Source organism: Homo sapiens, chromosome 10 (genome assembly GCF_000001405.40).
Source record: "Homo sapiens chromosome 10, GRCh38.p14 Primary Assembly".
Lineage (NCBI taxonomy): Eukaryota > Metazoa > Chordata > Mammalia > Primates > Hominidae > Homo > Homo sapiens.
Window position 1 is genome coordinate 48,864,992 of NC_000010.11, and position 20,356 is coordinate 48,885,347.

A 20,356-nucleotide genomic window follows, 5' to 3' on the forward strand; every position below is an offset into this window, starting at 1 on the left:
AATCCTGCCATCTGTGAACAGAGGTGTTTTTCTTCTCTTTCAATTTGGATGCCTTTTATTTCTTTTTCTTGTCTGGTTGTCCTGTCTAGAACCTTCAGTACATTGCTGTCTAGAAGTGTTGAAAGTGGACATCCTTGTCTTGTTCCTGATGTTAAGGAACATTCAGTCCTTCACCACCAAGTATAATGTTGTATAATGTTGGCTGTGGACTTTTTGTAGTTACCCTTTATGAGATTGAGAAAATTCTTTTTCCCCACCCAGTTGGTTGACTTTTTGTTTTGTCATGAAAGGGTTTTAAATTTTTGTCAATTTTTTTAAATGTCTATTGAAATTATTACATGGTTTCTGTTATTTATTCTATTATGTGGTGTAGTACATTAATTATTTTCAGTTGTTAAGCCAACTCTGCATTACTAGGCTAAATCTCACTTGGTCATGGTATATAATTTTTTATATGTTGGTGGATTCAGTTTGTTGATATTTTGTTGGGGATTTCTACATTAATATTTATATGAGATATTGGTCTGTAGTTCTCTAGTAAAGCCTTTGTCTGTTTTCTGTGTCAGGGTAATAACTGGTCCCATAGAATGTGTTGGGAAGTGTCCCTTGCTCTTCTAATTCTTGGAAGAGTTTTTGAAAAACTGCCGTGAATTCTTCACTAAGTGGTGGTTAGGATTCAGCAGTGAAGCCATCTGGGCCTGGGCTGGGCTTTTCTTTGTGGGTAGGTTTTGTTGTTGTTGTTGTTTTACTAATTCAATTTATTTTCTTGTTATTGATCTATTCCAATTGTCCATTTCTTCTTGAGTCAGTTTTGGCAATTTGTGTCTTTCTAGGAATTTGTTCATCTAATCTAAGCTATTTAATTTATTGGCATACAATTGTTTATAGTATTTTTTTATAATCTTTTGAAAAAATTCAGTAAGGTCAGTAGTATTGTCTCCTTCATTTCTGATCCTAGTATAATAATTTAAGCCTTTCCTCTTTTTTCTTGGTCAACCTAGCTAAAGACTGCCAATTTTATCGATCTTTCCAAAGTACCAGATTTTAGTTTCATTAATTTTATTTATTGTTTTTTATATTCTGTAATTCATTACTTTCTGCATTAATATTTATTTTCCCCTTCCTTCTACTTGCTTTAGATTTAGTTTGCTCTTTTTTCCCCAGTGTCTTCAGATGGAAGTTTCAGATATTGATTTAACGTGTTTCTTTTTTTTCTTAATATTGGCATTTATAACTATGAGTTTTCCTTTATGCTCTTCTTTAGTTATAGCCTACGTGTTTTGGTATGTTGTGTCTTTATTTTTATTCATCTCAAAAAGTTCCCTTTTGATTTCTTCTTTGACCCATTAGTTATTTAGGAATGTGCTTTTAAATCTACACTTATTTTTGAGTTTGCCAAATTTCTTTCTGCTAATTGATTTCAAATTTTGTTCCGTTGTGATTAAAAGACATGCTTTGTATTATGTCTATCCTTTTAAATTTACTGAAGTTTGTTTTGTGGCCTCAGCTTCTCATCCTTTTGAGCTATTTGAAAATTTGCATGTATCTCAAGGTCCAAAAAATAGAAAAAAGCATAAATGTCGGGCACACCTCAGTGAATTCCTCTTCAGAATCTTGGCTCCTCAAATTCAGCTCTCTTGGTAGCTCTCTGCTGTCTTAGAGCAGATTGTTCAAATCTAGGTCTTTTCAGTCATTCTTAGGAGGAAGGTTGAGCTACTGCAAGCTAGTTCATCATAGTTGGAGATGGAAGCAACCCATAAACACGTATGTGAATGTATTCATATGTGAGTGTGTCAGCATAGGTGACGCCTGTATTTATATGAATCTCATTTGACCAACAAATTCTGTAACCACTATTTCCTCTGTCAATTGGTCAGTATAGAGACGTTCTTATCTAAAATCACAACTATCACTCACGCTTGTAATCCCAGCACTTTGGGAGGCTGAGGCAGATGGATCACCTGAGGTCAGAAGTTCAAGACCAGCCTGGCCAATGTGGTGAAACCTGTCTCTACTAAAAATACAAAAATTAGCCAGGCATGGTGGTGGGCGCCTGAAATCCCAGCTACTTGGGAGGCTGAGGCAGGAGAATTGCTTGAACCTGTGAGGCAGAGGTTGCAGTGAGCCAAGATTGTGCCACTGCACTCCATCCTGGGTGACAGAATGAGACTGTGTCTCAAAAAATAAAATAAAATAAAATAAAATAAAATAAAATAAAATAAAATAAAATCACAACTATCATTAAGCTGTGACTTGTTTTCTCCTTTCTCCAGGATTTTGTGTCATGTATAGAGAACTACAGAAGAAGAGGACAAGAGCTATATGCATCTTTATACAAAGACCATGTGCAAGTAAGAAACAAAACATAGGCTTTCTCTATACAGCAAGCTGGAATCCACCTTGAACCTGAAAAATAATTGGAAGGGCCTTTGGTTTACGTTCTGGATTGCTCACCAGGCTTGCACCATGTTGGGGTTTTGCATTTTATCCTAAATGCAATGGGTTGCCACTGACAAGGGCAGGCTTAGATATTTAAAGTACCTATCTAGGCCTGACTGCTGTACAATCTAGGCAAAGAACACTGGCTCTCATGCCAGTCAGAGCTTTATTTGAATTCTAAGTCTGCCCCTTTCTATGCCAGTGGTCTGAGCCTCTGTGTGCTCATCTCTAAGCTGGAATAAGTCTTCCTACCTGTGAAGATTTAAAAGCAAGTGTGAAGCACCCAGACTGTGGCTGATAGAGAATGGATAACCCATGTGTGGTTATAGAATAGCTAAGAAGTTTATTTTTATTTGGTGTTACTGTTATTAATAAAAATTTAACATATTGCTAAAAATAGAACACAACATACAGTCTTAAAACCCTGTTGAATATATTATTTACCCAGCAATTTCTTTGTCCCAAAGACAGTGTGAAGTATAAAAAAATGCAGAGATTATGATACTCCTGTGTCTTGAAGGTGTTTGAAACTTGTAGATGAAACCCAGAGTAAAGAATTGCCCACAATACATGGTGATGAGCTCAATGATAGGATGTTCTACTATGGGGAAAGGAGCGATGGGGTATAAGGAGCCATTAGTGTGTCCTGGGTGGGCCACAGAGCAGGAAGGCTTACACATGGTGCCCGGTGCCAGGAAACAGAAGAGGCACTAATCATCTGAAACTGAGTTGCCTTGTCTAGTTTCCCCCTTAAAAGCCCACAACATGCCCCTGGGAAGACCCATTCATGGATGTGCAGCCTGAACCCCAGAAACACACAGCTTAGCAACATAGCCTCCCAGGCTCTCCTGAGTGATGGGAGCAGCAGCTTACCAGACAGGACACTTGTGAGAAACGAGGTTTGGTGTGTACAGGATGTGATCATGGCTGTGATAGTCAGAGGGATCAGCAGGCATGTCTAGTTTTTCTGAGTGCACAAGCTGGTCTTTCACAGACCCTTTGGTTGGACAAGGGTTTTCTCTGTGGGCATCTACCCCACTCCAACATTGCTGACTGTGCTGCACAGCTGGGTAGGGTGTCTTGCTGGCCTATATGTGTGTCATCTGTGCCTATTGGACAGACCATTGCACGTTAATGACTCACAACATGGATTGACAGATTTCACTCAGGGATAGCAATATGGCTGATAAATTTAATTGCCACTGAGGGGGAAATAAGATGAATCTTGTAGGATTGCATCCTTTATTGGTGGACATCCTCATCACCACTACACCATTTTGAGATGGAGGATGTGGTTTATCTAAACTTCCTAATCTGCATCTCGTCTAGAGTGCAACCATTTCTGCTCCAATGGTTAGAAGAGCCTGGGAGATACAGTTATGGCCAGGAGAGATGCCCTGGGGTACTTTGTGAAATTCTGTTGAGATCTGTGAGATTATAGGTTCTTGTGGGAAGGATGCAACTCCCTCAAGCCCAGAAGGAAGGGATCCAGCCACCTGAAAGGTTAGCCTGTCTCATCTTCAGCAGCAGGGCTGACTGGAGTTCAGAAAGGACTTGAGAAAGTTGTGCAATTTTCCTGTTGATTGAGGTATTTTTGAGAAAATCAGCATTTGGAAGCTAATCCACAAGGATACTTTCCAAGTATTTAAATATTTAAGTCAGGTTGTTTTGATATTTGAAAGAATGAAGATATAATAACATCTGCCATAGATAATGGGATGTGGACCTTTGCCCTGCTTTTTTAAGGAGTAGTATGCTTTCCCAAGAAAGGCCCATTCCACTTCCAGAAAAGTCAGGTCCAAACTCTGGACAGAGATTAGGCTTAAGAAATCTGCCACGTCCTTTGAGACAGCTTCTCCCAGGTGCACCAAATGAGGCCCTCCTAAGAAGGGGAGATTCAGGGGCCCTTGCCCACAGGGTGGCCAGTAACACACCACGCAGGACTTTTCTAACCAGGCACTTTACCCACAACTGAGAGGTGACTGGAGATGGCAGCAGCCCCCAGCATAAGAAGGCATCATTGCCTAGTGCCCTGGAAGTTAACCCAAGCATCATTATATCCCATTATTATATCAACAGCAAACATTGCAATTCAAATAGTCAATCAGCCAATTTTTTTTTTTTTTGATCCAGAAGTTCTGACAAAAAGTTGCCTCTACAGTCTGGCCCTGTTCAGATTCCCCTTTGCCTTGTCCACATTATCTTCATTCTCTTCTCTGTGGCCCAGCCTCTCTTGCTCTGTCTGTTACATACTTAGGCCATCCAGTTCTTATGTTGAATCTTCATTATAATTTGCAGAAATGACTTATCCTGCCTACACAGTCTTTACTGGTTGGAGTTCTTTGTGAGATGCCTGACAACTCAGAAATGGCCACTGTCTTCTGTCCCACTCTCTTCTAGGGCCTCTAGTTTTCTTCTCTTGTTCAGTCTCTATCTACTCATCGAGTATTTATCACAGCTCTGTCAGTTAAAAATATTGGAAACTCAACTCAGACTGCCTTAGGCAACAAAAAAAATGTCTTGTTTTACTGAAGAATGCAGGGAAACGCAGAATTCAAGCAGCGCTGGATCAAGTTCCGTGCTCTGCTTCCTCTGTGTGGGCTCCTGAGGGTGCCATTCCCAGCCCTAGGGGGTGGTGCCTGTTGGCCCATCCTATAACCATTCATAACAACTCAGATTATAGAGACTTGGGTGAAGTGTTCATCTTTGAAGGCTGGTCAACCCCACTGAAGTAGCAGGGACTGAAAGTAGGGAAGGGCTGGGTTTCCAAAGGTTAATCTAAGTGTTGCTACCCAAGGGTTGCTGTGATTCGAAAATCATAACTGGTCAAGTGTGGTGGCTCATGCCTCTAATCCCAGTGCTTTGGGAGGTTGGGCAGTAGGATTGTTTGATGACAGGAGCTCAAGGCCAGACTGGGCATCATTGCGAGACCCCAACTCAAAAAAAAGTAGTTAAAAAGACATTAGCCATGTATAGTGGCACCTTTAGTTCTAGGTACTCAGGATGCTGGGGTGGGAAGATTGCTTCATCCCAGGAGTTGGAGGTTACAGGTTACAGTGAGCTATGATCATGCCACTGCTTTCTAGCCTTCTAGCCTGTATGACAGAGAAAAAGACCTTGTCTCTGAAAAAAAAAAAAAAAAGAAAGAAATTGTAGTTGTCCCCCAACATAACAGAATCCCTGCCTGTGAGTCTGTGGGCCTTAAGTGTGGCATTTGGCCCACTTGCAGTTTGAATAGAAAGAGGGCCTTACACTGTGCAGAAACATGGGCATTTCAGAGCACCTTTGCAGGTGTGGAAACTCAGGACTTTTGCTATTTAGTCATCTGACTTCCTCTGCCCTGGGCCACCTGTAACTTGCTATCATGGACTAAATAATCACATCTCTCTCAGGGATCACACCATTGTCTGACTACAGATATTCAAGGCAACATGTGTGCTCTGTGATGAAGACCCAGGGAGCTGTGCATCCCCAGGTTGCATAGGTGGAGACTTGGGGTGGATATGCGTTCTTTTTTTTTTTTGATGGAGGCTCGCTCCTTCCCCCAGGCTGGAGTGCAGTGGCGCTATCTCGGCTCACTGCAAGTTCCGCCTTCCCGGTTCACACCATTCTCCTGCCTCAGCCTCCAGAGTAGCTGGGACTACAGGCACCTGCCACCACGCCTAGCTAATTTTTTTGTATTTTTTAGAAGAGACGGGGTTTCACCGTGTTAGCCAGGATGGTCTCGATCTCCTGACCTCGTGATCCGCCTGCCTCAGCCTCCCAAAGTGCTGGGATTACAGGCATGAGCCACTGTGCCTGGCCGGATATGTGTTCTTAAAAAACTAATTTGAAGCTAAGGCTGGACAACCCAATAGCTTGAGATTATTCATCCTCCATGAAGCTCCGTATGTTACTACAAATGCAAAAGTACAAATGTCACTACAATCTCCAGGGAACTGAAATATTTCTGCCAAACGAGTGTTCATTCTATGTGACCAAGTCTCTGTAAAAAGCTTTGGATAGTCAGTTGGATAGTCATTATTTTTCTGGTGGCCCCCCCCTTTTTTTTTTTTTCTGAGACAAGGAGGGTCTTATTTTGTTGCCCAGGCTGAAGTACAGTCATGTAAATCATAGCCCACAGAAGCCTTGAACTCCTGGGCTCAAGAGATCCTCCTGCCTCAGCCTCCCAAATAGCTGAGAGTACAGTCATGCACTAACATGCCCAGTTATTTCTTTAATTTTTTTGTAGAGACTGGGTCTTGCTATGTTGCCCAGGCTGGTCTTTAACTTCTGGCCTCAAGAAATTCTCCCACCTTGGCCTCTGAAAGCTCTGGGATTAGAGGCATGCAATACAATGTACATCTTGGAGTTTCTTATTAACCAATTGGAGTACTACATAAAATGCTAGCACTGTTTGGGATATGAATTTAAGAACTGTAGAGAAACAAAATGATCTTGTTTTGAAATAGGATTAGCTTCATTCACAGTGATAACACTGATTACTTAAGCTGAGTAAGGTACCATATTAAGCTCTTGAAAATATTGTCCCATTTAATCATTCTAGAAGCCCGTGATTATTATTATGGTACTATTATTAACCACATTTGACTGATGAGGAAGTTGAAGATCCTCCAGATTGAACTGCTGGTGATTCACAGAAACATGATGGATGATCAGGTCCATCAAATGCCAGAAACCACCTGCTGGGCACTATCCCCCACCCCAAAGCCATGCTTTCATGGGAATGCCTCTGGCAAGTTATGAGAACAATTTACTCATTTAAAATGGCCAAGATTTGCAAGGCCTACATCTATAAGTCTTCCAGTTTTTTGAAATGCTAGCAGATATCATGCACTCATAAAATAATAGCCCCTCAGCAAAGTAATCTAGCTCCCATGCTCAAGGAAGTCTTTGGAATCCAACAGACCAGGTTTAAATCTCTGTTTGGCCACCTGTTGGCTTTGGAGAAGGCACTTCTCCTTTGCAGACTTAGCATCATCATGGGGATGATCGAAAATACTTGTGGTACCACTGGGTAGAGGAAATGAGATAAAGCAGGTGCAGGGCTCAGCCTAACACATGATAATGAGTGTCTTTTCTGTTCATGTTGTTATGCTTCTTGTCATTAGCACTTCACCTTTTCATTTTCTGAAAACATTAAATGTGGGACAAATTCCATAAAATATTTGAATAATTGCAAAAGTGTATCCTGCAAAGTTGACTCTACTGTGCAAACTGAACTGAACTGCTTCTTTGACAGGTGATGCATGTAACTTTAATGTGGTCTATAAATGCAGGTTGGGGGTATCTATGTATTATTAGAAAAGTTTGAGTCATACTGTAGTAGCAGATGTGGCAGTCAGAGACCACAGATGCAAACTGTGAGGATCTTATAGCTATTAAATGAGATTCTTTGCATTACTATGAAAGGTTTTAGCTCCTGTGAATATTCTAGAATCTCTGAACATTCTGGAATCTATGACATTAGGATTGAAAGGCCCTTAGACATCATTCAGGCCAGGTCTGTCATTTCGTTGGAGATTCTGAGATCCAGAGATGGGAGTCACTTGCTCAAATCAATCAGTTGTCTTGAGGGCTTCTAATTCCCACTCCACTCCAGTTCAGGCAACTGGAAAAAAGTACATTCAAATTCCCACTCCACTCTAGTTCAGGCAACTGGAAAAAAGTACATTCAGCTTCACTTTTGAAGGGTGGGATTGTGGTGAGATTCATGTCCATTTGGTAAAATAGCTGTCCAGTCCATGCTGATGAGCTGCTACAGGACCTTCCAGACCTGTTGCTTTCTGTCCATCACCAGTAGCCTCATGGCTCTGAAGGCCAAAGGGCAGACAACTTTCTCCTCCCCTAACTTGGATTAAGATATCTTAAAGCTGAGCAACTGTTTCCTTATAGTCCTGGCTGCAGTGGGTACCCTACACATTCTGAGGGTGTAGAGAGAAGGTATCTTTCTCAAACATTCATGGGAGACTTGGCTTATTCACCCCAGGAGGTTTGGGGCCAGGCCCATAAGGCCCATAAGGCAAATGTATCCAGGGTGACTCTGTTTCTGCTCCCCAGAGGCGAAAATGTGGCAACATCAAGGCAGCCAACGCCTGGGCCAGGATCCAGGAGCAGCTTTTTGGGGAGCTGGGCTTGTGGAGCCAGGGGGAAGAAACCAAGCCCTGTTCCCCATGGGAACTCGACTGGAGAGAAGGACCAGCTCGAATGAGGAAACGCATCAAACGCTTGTCTCCTTTGGAGGCCCTGAGCTCAGGAAGGCACAAGGTAGGAGTCAGGCGCAGTGGGACAGTGCTGGTTCCAGGTAGGGCCTGATAGGAAAGCAGCTCCTGAGCTTCCCCATCACATGTTGTTTATATCAGGCTAAGATAACACATGCAGTTAAATGTAGGAGAGTCCCAAAATTTATTCTCAATGCCATTTAAGAGGAGAAAAGCATCACTAACCCTCCTAGGTACATAGCAGGGACACTGTAACTACAGCCTGCATGAATGAATAAATATTGAGTGTTGAGTGGTGAGTGGTTCTTACCTATGCTGCAGGCACAGCCCTGTGCTGCAGTCCACACAAGTCCTGTGGAATCATCTGGATGCAAGTGCTTGGAAAGGGCCAGGGGAAGGCTATTGTCTGCTCGCACAAGTTACTTGTTATTGGGCAGTTGTAACCCATACTGCTATAAGCATTACTGCAAATCCCATAACAAATTTTACGATGAAAATCTCATGAACTTGACTGTTTCTGCAATTTTGAGCCAGTGATCCACTCATTCCAAACAACATTGACTTCCCAAGCAACAGAATCTGGGTAGTCCCTGGGAGTTTGCTCTAATGAAGCTTGAACTGTGTCGCAAACTCTTATTTTGCCTTTTAAAAGAAAAGAAGCCAGTTGGATTCATTTGGTAGTAGATATAGGAAATCTGTTAATAGTTTTTCATGTCTTTATTGAATGATCATAATTTAAAATATCCTCAAAGGCGGCCTTCCAAACACCAGAATGCTGGATTTTTTTCTTCTGCATTCATCACAAGTAACAATGTTGAGTTTATTCTCTCGTCTGTAACCTCAGCATCTTTTACTCATGCTAAAAATCCTTTGTAAAATCTAATGAAAAAATTAGATTTCATTTATTCAGTAGATACTTAAATTTTCTAAGTATTGTCAATAAACATTTGGTGGTGTGTAGTATTTTCCCTCACTACATTTTTTAGGAATAGGAAGCAAAAAAAAATAAAAAATAAAAAAAATAAGTAGCCTGCTCACTGTGCTGGTGACAAAGCCAAGGGCTGGCTATGAAACCTGGTCTCTGGTCTCTGGGGCTGTCCAGCCCTGGAACCTCCCCTGGTCCCCTCTCCAGGGTGTCCTACACAGAGACATTGAGGATGCTATCTAATCCCATCTGGGCCTCTTCTTTGGTAATTACCGTAAGTCCTACTTAATGGAAGATTGTGGGTTTTTTCCCCTTTGACTCAGGAACATTCATACTTGCATTTTATTGTGGTCCTTTAGGATTTAGTGTTTCTCTCCCTTTGCATCTGAGTCTTGCATAATTTGAAGGGGTCACATGCATGTGCGTGTTTGTGAATCTGTGGAATTGGAGGTGAGTGAAGCATAGATGTAGCATCCAGGATTTAATTTTTCTTTTCAATGTCCTTATTTCAGGAAAGCCAAGACAAAAATGATCATATTTCTCAAACAAATGCTGAAAACCAAGGTATTCAGTTTATCTATTTTTTCCTTTAATAGTTAAGCTAATTATTGGTTTTATTTAATATTTTATTAAAGATATTAAATTAATATTTTAGAAGAGGAAAATGCTATTGTAGCCAGCCCTGGGACTTATTGTTACTGCACTTCCAGAGAGAAGACAAGTCGATTTCAGCCCTAGACACTTGTTAGGGAAAACATTTTCTATTAAGGTTGCAACAATAACAATTTTTGGGGAGAAACAGTCTTGTCAATTTGCTATATCAGGGAGATCTTAAAAGTATTCCCAAACAATTTTTGAGACAGGGTCTTGTGCTGTCACCTAGGCTGGGGTGCAGTGGCATAATCACAACTCACTGCAGCCTCCACCTCCTGGGCTCACACAATCCTCCTGCCTCAGCCTCCAGAGTAGCTGGGACTACAGGTACACATCACAATGCCCAGATAATGTTTGTAATTTTTGTAGAGATGGGGTTTTGCCACATTGCCCAGGCTGGTCTCCAACTCCTAAGCTCAAGTGATCCACCTGCCTTGGCCTCCCAGAGTGCTAGGATTATAGCCATGAGCCAGCACACCTGGCCAATGACTACTTGTTACTGCTGATCAAACTTTTCTCATTTCCTGACTAATGGATTTGTATTGAGCTTGCTACCTTGCCTGTCTGCAGTAATACAAGCCCAGAAGTGAGGATCTTGGGCTCTGATCCCCAGGTGATTTGGGGTCTTATTGTGGCACAGAGGATAGGATGATATTGTGATACCTGTTTGCCTCTCGTCTCTCCACCCCAAGCCCTACAACTCTCACATGGAATGATTGCCTGCCTGCTCCAGCTCCAGAGGTGGGAGTTGCAGAGAGTGCAGTGGTGGAAAGCATGAACTGATCTTTTTGTGGATGATGGCCATGGGCTGCTGTGTCCTCTCATTCTTGACATGCAGAGCCCCTGGGTGTCTGTGACCCTGGGCCTTCATGGTATTTCCAGTATGCACCCTGAGTAGGGAGCTCAGCCAAAGGAGAAAAAAGGTCCTGTGGTTCTCCACCATGCCTCTCCTACACACCTCTCCCTGCATGGGGGAAAGCTATGAGGGTTTGCGTGAGCAGCAGACACTTTCAATCATCCAGTACAGAAAAGATAATGAAAGTAAATGGACCAAATTGTAAACAGTGGAGCCAAACAGACTAGAGATGAAAAAACCAGACCCTTATCCCAGAGAGACTTTATTCAGATTCTACCTCTAGTTCTTAGAAGCCATATGATCTTGTACAAAGTAATTAGCCTGTTTCAGCTTTTCCATTTGTCAAGTGAGGATGAAATAGTATCTCCAACCAAGATGGGACAACATTTTAAAATGTCATCAGAAGTATCTGGCACAGAGAAAGGGCTTACTAAATGGGACCTGTTATTATTAGCACTATCTCTGGGTGCATGGGTGAGATTTGTTTTATTTCTCACAACTTCATATCTTTTCCAAGTTTTTTTTACAATAAAAGGATATTGTTTCTATCATGAGAAAAAACAGCAATATTCAAAGAGTGAATGAAGTGAAATTCAGAGAAAGCAAATCCTAGCTGGGCCTCTGAGGAGTTGCTTTACTGACTAACGAGGGTGAATTTGGAAATGTTGCCCTGTGGTCACTGGAAGTGGCTGAACAGCTAGGCCTGGGCATATCTGGGCCCTCCAGGATAAGTCAACTGGAAGGTATTTTGACCACACCCCAGGGTGCCCCAGATGTGTGGTGTCCATTTCCAGAAGCAGTGGAGGGGCACAGTGAGAGATCCACGCTCTTCACTTCGGCCCTGGAGCCTTGCTGCTCCTTGGTGATGTAGGCACATGCTGTGCACCGGCCCTTACCATGTCAGGTGGCTCCTGTCAACACCACGTGTCCCTTTATGCTGCTGCAGATGAACTGACACTGAGGGAGGCTGAGGGCGAGCCGGACGAGGTGGGGGTGGACTGCACCCAGCTGACCTTCTTCCCAGCCTTACACGAAAGTCTGCACTCAGAAGACTTCTTGGAACTGTGTCGGGAAAGACAAGTTATTTTACAAGAGCTTCTTGATAAAGAAAAGGTAATATACCCCATTGCAATAGCCTTTAAGATTTTTAAGTTAGTTGTTAAGATTGTCAGACAGGAGAAAACCAAGCTTTCGCCACTTACATGGGGAATGAGATCTCCATTTGCTATGAAAACTTTCAACACAATAATCAGTGAAAAAAGGGATAGATTCCTAAATTTGTTGGCCCAGAGAAAGAGTGCAAAGGGAAGTCTATACATCCTGCATCAAAATATTTAATAGGTGTACCACAAACTGTTAAGTGAAAAATACTCTAACTTCCTACTTTGACCTTCATAACAACCTGAAAGGCAAGTTTCAAGTTGAGAATTCTTGATCTTCTGGCAGTTCAGCATCTTGGCCCCCTGTTTGTGGCCTGACCACCCTGAGAGGTCCCACACCTTGAGGGGTCTTGGGTGCATGTGTTTGGACACCCCAACCCATATATCCGCACTGTCCCTATGCCTCGGCCTCACCTTGGCCACCACTCAAGCCTAGGGGTAAGCACACTTGTGGCACCATTAGCCTTCAAAAGGGTGGCTCTGGGGATGAAGTGTACAGGCCCAGGAGGCAGGCTGGGGACCAGGTGGCAGGGAAACCCGGGGTCCTGGGTGCCTGGAGCTGGGTTGGCGGAGCCCCACTCTTCGTGTGTGTGTCCTCTTGGCCTGGCTGGGGAGGTCCCAGAGAAGGACCCCTCTTCCCCAAGTCTAAGAATGCAATGGAAGATGAAGCACATGTCTTAGAGTAGAACCGACCTCAGTTCTAGTCCCAACTTGGCCACATATTAAACCGCATGTCACCTAACCGTTGTCAGCCTCAGTTTTCTCATCTTTAATGTGGAGTTCTGGCCACCATCTGATAACATTCTGCTCAGGCTTAAATGGGCCAATGGAAGTACAGGGACTACTTCAGAGCTGGGCATAAGAGAGGTGCTCATCAAAGGTGAGTTGTTTTCCCTTTCTGAGGGTTGGGTGGTTGAAGGCTTGGTGGATCTCAGGGTCTCTGGGTGAATCGGGCTTTTCCATAGGGATATAAGTGAAGGAGATACCCACAGAGGAGCAGGCAGGCTGGGACTGGTGCGCCACAGGGGACACACAGAGATAAATGCACGAGAGCTGGAGGCTAGTCTGGCCCCAGGGTGAATGGGAGTGGATCTGAACCAAGACCCAGGGACTGAGGGAGAGCCTGGACCTCCAGGAATAGGTCCTAGGCTCAGAGAACCTGGGAGGGGCATAAGCAAATGAATTGCTTATGAACTTGCTGCAGAACTTTCAGCAAATTGCTTTGCTGTTTTCAGATTTGGGTCACAGTTCAAGCAATGTAGTCCTGTAACAATGCTGTCCTTATACCTGCATAACCAAAGCTTCCAGACACAGAGCACATTTCCATCATGTGCTCCAACACACCTAGCCATCATGCCTCCTCATGCAGGTTTGCCTACCTGCAGTGCCCTGCCCACTTGACCCCTGCAACTGACTCTCTGAAGCTGATCTTGACTGCTCCCTGCTCTGAGACCTGGAGAACTGGCTGGAGAACTAGCTTGTTACTGTCTGTGTCGCCCCCTGCATCACCTCCTGCCTTGCTGCTGGCACGCAGAGTGACCTCAGCGCTTCACCTGTCCACCTCTGTCACTATGGATCCTCCATACAGGAGGAAACCCTGTTGTCTAACCACAGGCATGCCTGAAGCAGCCAGTCAGTCAACACTGATGAATGACGTGCTAAATTCATGTGCATTTTATTTTGATAATGGAAGTATCATATATCTACTATGTGAAATTTTGATAAATGGATATTAAAATATATAACACATGTATGCATAAGTGTATATTCATAATATCCAGTTGCTGAGGACTAACGGCAGATCATAACAGTTGGGATATATCAATATATTAATATGCTCATATAGGTAAGTGGATATTTAGTAAATACCTTGTCCATTGAAAAAACAGCTAAGACGTCAATGCTTTCTTTCCTTAAAAACTTTTCTTTGCTTTATGCCCTTAAAGGAGCAGCCGTTCTCAACTGGGGGCAACTCTACCCCACAAGGAACCCTTGCCAATGTCTGGAGACATTTTTAATTGCCATGGCCAGGGCGAGAGGATGCTCCTGGTGTCTAGTGGGCAGAGGCCAGGGCTACTGCTGGGCACCCTACGTTGTCTATGGTGGCAAGTCTGAGAACTGTGTCAGAAAGGATCCATAGTAAACAGATATCATGCTCCAGCTACACCTGCCTGCTTTCCTGATTATGTGGTGTCTCCATATTGGTTCTTTTCATTGCTTTAATAGGAGAACAATGGCAGTGCTTTATATTCGCTTTCTATCTCTGCCAGAAGAAATTACCACAAACATAGTGATTTTAACGCAATGCACATTTATTATCTCGAAAGTCTTGGCACAGTGGGGCTCAGCAGATTCTCTGCTAGAGCCTCAGATGGCTGCAGCCAAGGCATTTGTGGGGCCTCATGTCTTTCCAGAGCCTCTGAGAAGGCATCCTTTCCAAGCTCGTTCCAGTGCTGGCAGAATCCACGTTCCTGCTTCTGTAGGTCTGAGCTCCTGTTCCCTGCCTGCTGGCTGCCAGGGTTCATCTGTTTCTTGGGGTGCCCACCTCCCTTACCCTGTGGCCCTTCCTCCTTTCATTTCCTGCAGTGGGTGGTACCCTTCTCACCCTTCATATCCTTCTTGCCCCCTCTGCCTCCCGCTCCCCCAACACCACCTCTCTGACCAACTCTGCTGCTGCCTAGGGCGCAGGGGATGGCACTAACTCACACATAATCCAGGGTCACATCCCTGTTTTAAGGTCAGCTGATTCGTAACCTTGATTTTATCTGCAAAGTCCCTTCAGAGCAGTGTGGGTGTTGGATGGGACAGCCTCCTGGGGGCTTCTCTGGAATATGAGCACCACTCAGGCTGCTGCCCCCCAGGGCAGGTCCTTGGCCTCCTAGGAGAGCCTTTGTAGGTGGCCTGACTCCCTCAGGCATCCAAGGCTGGCCTGGGAGTTTTCACCCTGGCTAGGCTGAAGTTTATGGTCAGGGACCCGAGTGAGTCCCAGCCCCGCCTCTTGCAGCCTGCAGGTGCCTTTGACACTTGTCCTGTCTCTGAGAGTCTTGTTTTTGTTGACTGTCCACCAGGTGACATTTTCCTCAGGGATCTTGCTGGGGGAGCGGCAAGAGTCTGAAGCCCCCAGGTGACTGACTTTCCAGCCTCTGAAGCAGGACAGAACCAGGAAGGGGATCCTCTCCCATCTGCCCCTCCCTGCCTTTTGTTTAAGTTTCAGTCTTCCTTGGCCTTCCCGTGGCTCAGCGGGAAGCTGTCAGAAATGCCACACACTGTTTGCTGTGCCAGTGGGGATCCGCAGGATGTGCAGACAGGAGCATGTGGAACCCGGTGGGCGGTCGGGAGGGGAAAGAGCAGGAGCTGTCCTGCTTCCACTTGGCACCCGGTGGCCAGTACATTCAGAAGGGAGGGACCCTGTGTGAGGTTCGGCTCCTGGCCCAGAGGACTGGGCAGAGTGACCCTTGCCATTATCTAGGCATCCGTCCTTGCCTGAGATGTCTCTATGCATTTTATGGGGCTATGCTTGCTGCCTCTGGCTTCATGGGGAATTGTGGGAAAGGCTGGCTCCCAAGCTCAGTTTCCCCAGGGTCAGTGAAGCCAAACCACCAGGCACGCCTGCTTCTGGAGATGCAGGCCCGGGGAGGTGGGGGCAGGGCAGGGTCCCTGGTGAGGGGAGGGTGGAGGCTACAGGCAGGGGTGGGGTAAAAACCCTGCCCAATTCTAATTCTCTTGCCTCCACTTACAGGCCTAGTGACCAGGTAAGTAAGAGAACCATTCCCCAGCCTCCTTTCTGTTATCTTTAGAATGGGGTTCTACTCCTGGTCTCACTGGTTTGTGGCAAAGATTGACATGGGGCTGTGTCTCTGTCTGAGACTGTGCCCTGTGAGGAGGCAGCTCTCAGTCTCTGGCATCTGCTGTTACTGCTCTGGCTGTTGCTGTTCCTTTCATAGCCCCATAGGATTTGTTCTCACTCTCCCAGAAGTAAGAAGGGGCGTTGGAAGAACCCTGGTACCTATGGCATGGCCCAAGGGCCGTGTCAAGGGAAGGATGAAGGATCCTGTTAAGACTGAGGCTCCTGTGAGGCAAGGAACTGTGTGTCTTGGGGAAATGCTGTGGGGAGTGCTTGGATAGATGGGAAACTCTGGGGGTCTCCATGGGTCTGGTTGTCCTGCCGAGATGGTGGAGGATGAGACAGAGGGTCACAGTGGAGCCCATGAGAGGCCTGACCAGCTGGAATGGGGTTCCTGCAGAGTGCCAACACTCAAACCAAACACAAGGTTTTGGGAAAAAGAGGGAAGTTGCTGGGTTGAGGCCTGGACTGATGTGTGGTGAAATCAAGGAGGTCCCTAAACTGAAAGCACCAGGCAGGGAAGAACATAAGAAAGCAGGCCCCAGGAATTCACATGAATCAGAAAAATCCTCGAACCAGAGGAGCACCCTTCTGCTCTAGACTGGAGAGCTCTGTGGAGTGGGGTCCTGGCTGGCTGGTGGGACATATGGGGCCTCTCTGTGGCCTGGCACTTCTCCTCCCCCTCACACCTCCACCAGCCAGGTCCACACAGTCCCATGCCCATTCACTCTTGTCTCCCAGCCTGGCGGCCTCCTGGGTGAACCTGTCCTGGTGCGCCCATCCCCAGCATACTCCCACCCCAGAGCATAGCTGGTGGATCCATCCCCTGGGCCTACCCCAGCCCCCTCTTATTGCCTGACTGATGATTTCTGAGCCTTCCTATGGTTTCTCTGAAGGCAAGGAGAGACTTAGCTTCCTCCTCGTCCCTTCCTTCCCTGATACATAGGGTGAGTGCTTGGGAACAATCTGCAGACCAGGTGAGCTCAGCCTGACAGGGCAGCAGGAATCAGGAGGTCCTCCAGGGGAGCCAACCTGCAGCCAGGCCTGGGTCTGCTCACATGCCTTAGGACCCAGCTTGAGGGAGGGCATGCCCTGGGGGAACCTGGGTCTTGGGGGAGCCTGCTCTGGGGTGGGGAGGGTCTTGACTGGACTGGAGCAGGCTGCCACAACACCACCACCATGGAGGGAGCAGCCAGTCATTTGTGCCCAGGAGGGCAGCTTGGCACAGGGCAAAGTGCATAGGCTGGTTTGAGAACCTCATTCTGCTATTTGTTTGTTGCTATTAATATTATTATTAGCAAAATGTCAACAGCTAGATGTCAGAAGCCCTTGCCTTGTGTGATCTTCATGCACTGTCTCATTCAGCCTCACCATGGTCCTGTGAGGCAGGTGTGTTAGTCCATTTGAGTTGCTATAAAGGAATTCCTGAGATGGGGTAATTTATAATGAAAAGAGGTTTAGTTGGCTCACAGTCCGCAGGGTGTACACAAAACGTGGTGCTGACATCTGCTTTTGGTGAGGCCTCAGGAAGCTTCCAGTCATGGTGGAAGGTGAATGGGAGCCAGCGCATCACATAGTGAGAGAGGCAGCAAGAGAGAGAGGGAGGAGGGGCCAGGCTCTTTCAAATAACCAGATCTCAGCTGAACTCTCGGAGAACTCATTCATTACAGCAAGGACAGCACCAAGACATTTACAAGGGATCTGCCCCCATCATTCAAACAGCTCCCTCTAGCCCACACTTCCAACACTTAAGGCCACATGAGATTTGGAACAAAACATCCAGACTGTATCAGGAGGCTTTGTTATTTCCATTGCAAAGATGGCAAAAACAGAGCCCAGGGTGGCTACTCACTGGAATTGCTAGGATTTGACCTCAGATCTCTCTTATTCTCAGTTCATGTGTTTTCGTTCCCTCTCTACTGCCTCCCAGCTCACTGTGTTGGACAAGTTACATAACCTTTCCAGCACCCTGTCCCTCAGCAGCCGGCTGTTATTGGGCTTGGAGTTGTGGCTCCTGGCCCCATGTTCTTTCTCTATAACTGTTCCAGTTAAAGCTGGTGCAAGGAGGCCTTCAGGTCTCTCACCAACATGGCATCTCTGCCTGGGATGCAACATGCCAAGCAGGTGCCTACCTGCCCTCCTGCATGTGCCTGGAGGGCCCCTGGTCCACTGTGGCCTTATCCCTGGACCACTATGGTTTTGTGTCAAGGACAGGAACTTGAGGCCAAGGAAAGGAGGATGGGTGCATTGATTGTTGACCCGTGAACATGTTCAGGCAAATAGAAAGTTTGTGCAAGGGGTGTGTGTGTGTGTGTGTGTTACTCTCTACATTCCCCAGGCTGGTACAATTAGCCTATGTTGAGGCATTTTTTAGCAAGTGTTGGTTGTAAGCTGGGACTTCCCGTAATTCAGATGTCATTGTGAGACTTTGTGGGCCTTGTACTTTTTCTAAATTTCTAAGCGAAACATGCCCACGATAGGGGCATGGCAGGACTGTGTGCATGCTCCTACAACAGAGTCCCCACTCCTCCTCCCCTACCGTCTCAGAAATGCTTGATCATATGGCCTTTGCTGGACACATGGCACAGGAGACTTTCCAGGGCATGACTGCTTTTCAGGCATCTGGGTGGCATGCCTCTGGCAGAAGCCTCTGGAGCTGCAGGCATCATCCTGGCCCTGGGGGATGCTGGTGGTGCCGGGGCTAGGGTGGCAGCAGCTTAACTCATTTCTTTGTGTGAACGTTGGAGTTCTGGTTGCCTCTAGTGATACCTGGGATGGTAATTATTCAACTATTCTGTGCCACCTCTGCATCATTGATTAATGATTCCCAGGACTACAAACGCATTTCTCTGCAAACAGCTCTGTTTGACTTGAGGAGTGACTGATTTAATGCATATTAATTGTGGGCTCATGCCAGTTACCACGTGGCTGGGGATGTCCCTTGTACAGCTTCCAGAACCAGTCCAGAGTCAGTCCTCAAGTGAAGGTTTGCTTTTGTTATTGTTCTTTGATTACATGAAAAATTAAACATCTGATTTTTTTTTCATACAAACTCAATGTAAAATATGAGTTTGACCTTGGTAGAAATGATCCGCTCAAAGGGAAAGACATTTTCCTCTGGATTGCAGAGAGTGGCATCTTCTACAAGCTCCTCCCAGGTATCTTTAGCTGAGGCTGTTTGTAGAAGGTGAGGGTGGGTGTTAACCTTTATATGCAGTAACTTCCTGTCTTTCTGAATCTCCATGACTTTCTGAAATGAAAACAACACATGTCATTCCTACTTAATATTTCTGAGACGCTGGTTAGCATTCTTCATATGCAAGGCCATTCCAGAGCTGGCCTTGTAGTTTCCCTGGACTAACTTCCCTTATCCTTACACATGCGCATAAACACACACACATGCATGCACAGACACACATGTGCAACCACATGCACACACATACATGTGTGCATACACACATGCACACACACATGCACACCTGATGCGTGTACACATATGCATACACATACACATGTGTGCACGTGCACACACACACATACACACCCCTCTGACTTTTTAATTATACAGAACTACCTATAATTTCCAAAATTTCCGGCTGGTTCAATACTTTGTGCCTTGGAATGCTCCTCCCCTGTTTTTTTATCTTTGTAACTCCTAACTCCAGACTTGGAGTCACCTCCTCAGGAACCGTTTCTCTGGTGTCACCGCTGCCGCCTCTTCCATCTCAGTCTGAGTGAGACACACTCCTGTGTGCTCCCAGAGCACCTGTGCTTTTCCTTCCACACTGCTGGGAGAGCTGATATCCTGCTCTCTTTCTTTCCTGTTAGGTTGTAAACATCTTAAAGGCATGTCTTATTTTCCTTTGTGCCTCCCAGGGAGTGGGGCATATGCTAAACATTTAATATGTACCTGTTAAATAAATGAATGAACAAATAGATGAGTGAATTATGGGCAATATGCTGACACCAGATGAAACCTTTTTTTTTTCTTAGCCTAGCTGGTGCCCAACGGTCGGTTTCTTAGTGTATGGGCTTCAGATCACCTGCATCAGAATCTTCTGGGTTGCTTAATAAAATTCACATTCTAGGGCCCTACTTTGCACCTGTTGAATTGAAACTTCTGGGGATGTAGCCTGGGAATATGAATTTTATCAAGCTGTGCAGGTGATTCTCATACATACTAACTTTTCAAATAAATGCCCCAAATCCATGAGTCCAAGTTTTACAATATTCAGAGCTACCCTGGCTAAAAATGCG

General features: G+C 45.4%; 1 protein-coding gene across 10 annotated transcripts in view; it reads left to right on the forward strand.

Moving 5' to 3' along the window:
• Positions 1-20,356, forward strand: part of WDFY4 (WDFY family member 4) — a 298,084-nt gene that overhangs the window by 180,119 nt on the left and 97,609 nt on the right. For 9 of the 10 annotated variants that reach the window (XM_011539988.3, NM_001394531.1, XM_017016463.2 and 6 more), the window contains 4 exons: positions 2,274-2,351; positions 8,500-8,706; positions 10,098-10,149; positions 12,042-12,208. In XM_011539988.3, coding sequence (XP_011538290.1) covers positions 2,274-2,351; positions 8,500-8,706; positions 10,098-10,149; positions 12,042-12,208 — 504 coding nt within the window. Of the gene's footprint in view, positions 1-2,273; positions 2,352-8,499; positions 8,707-10,097; positions 10,150-12,041; positions 12,209-13,007; positions 14,009-20,356 lie in introns of those variants that run through there. The other variant, XM_011539990.4, reaches the window with a different exon arrangement.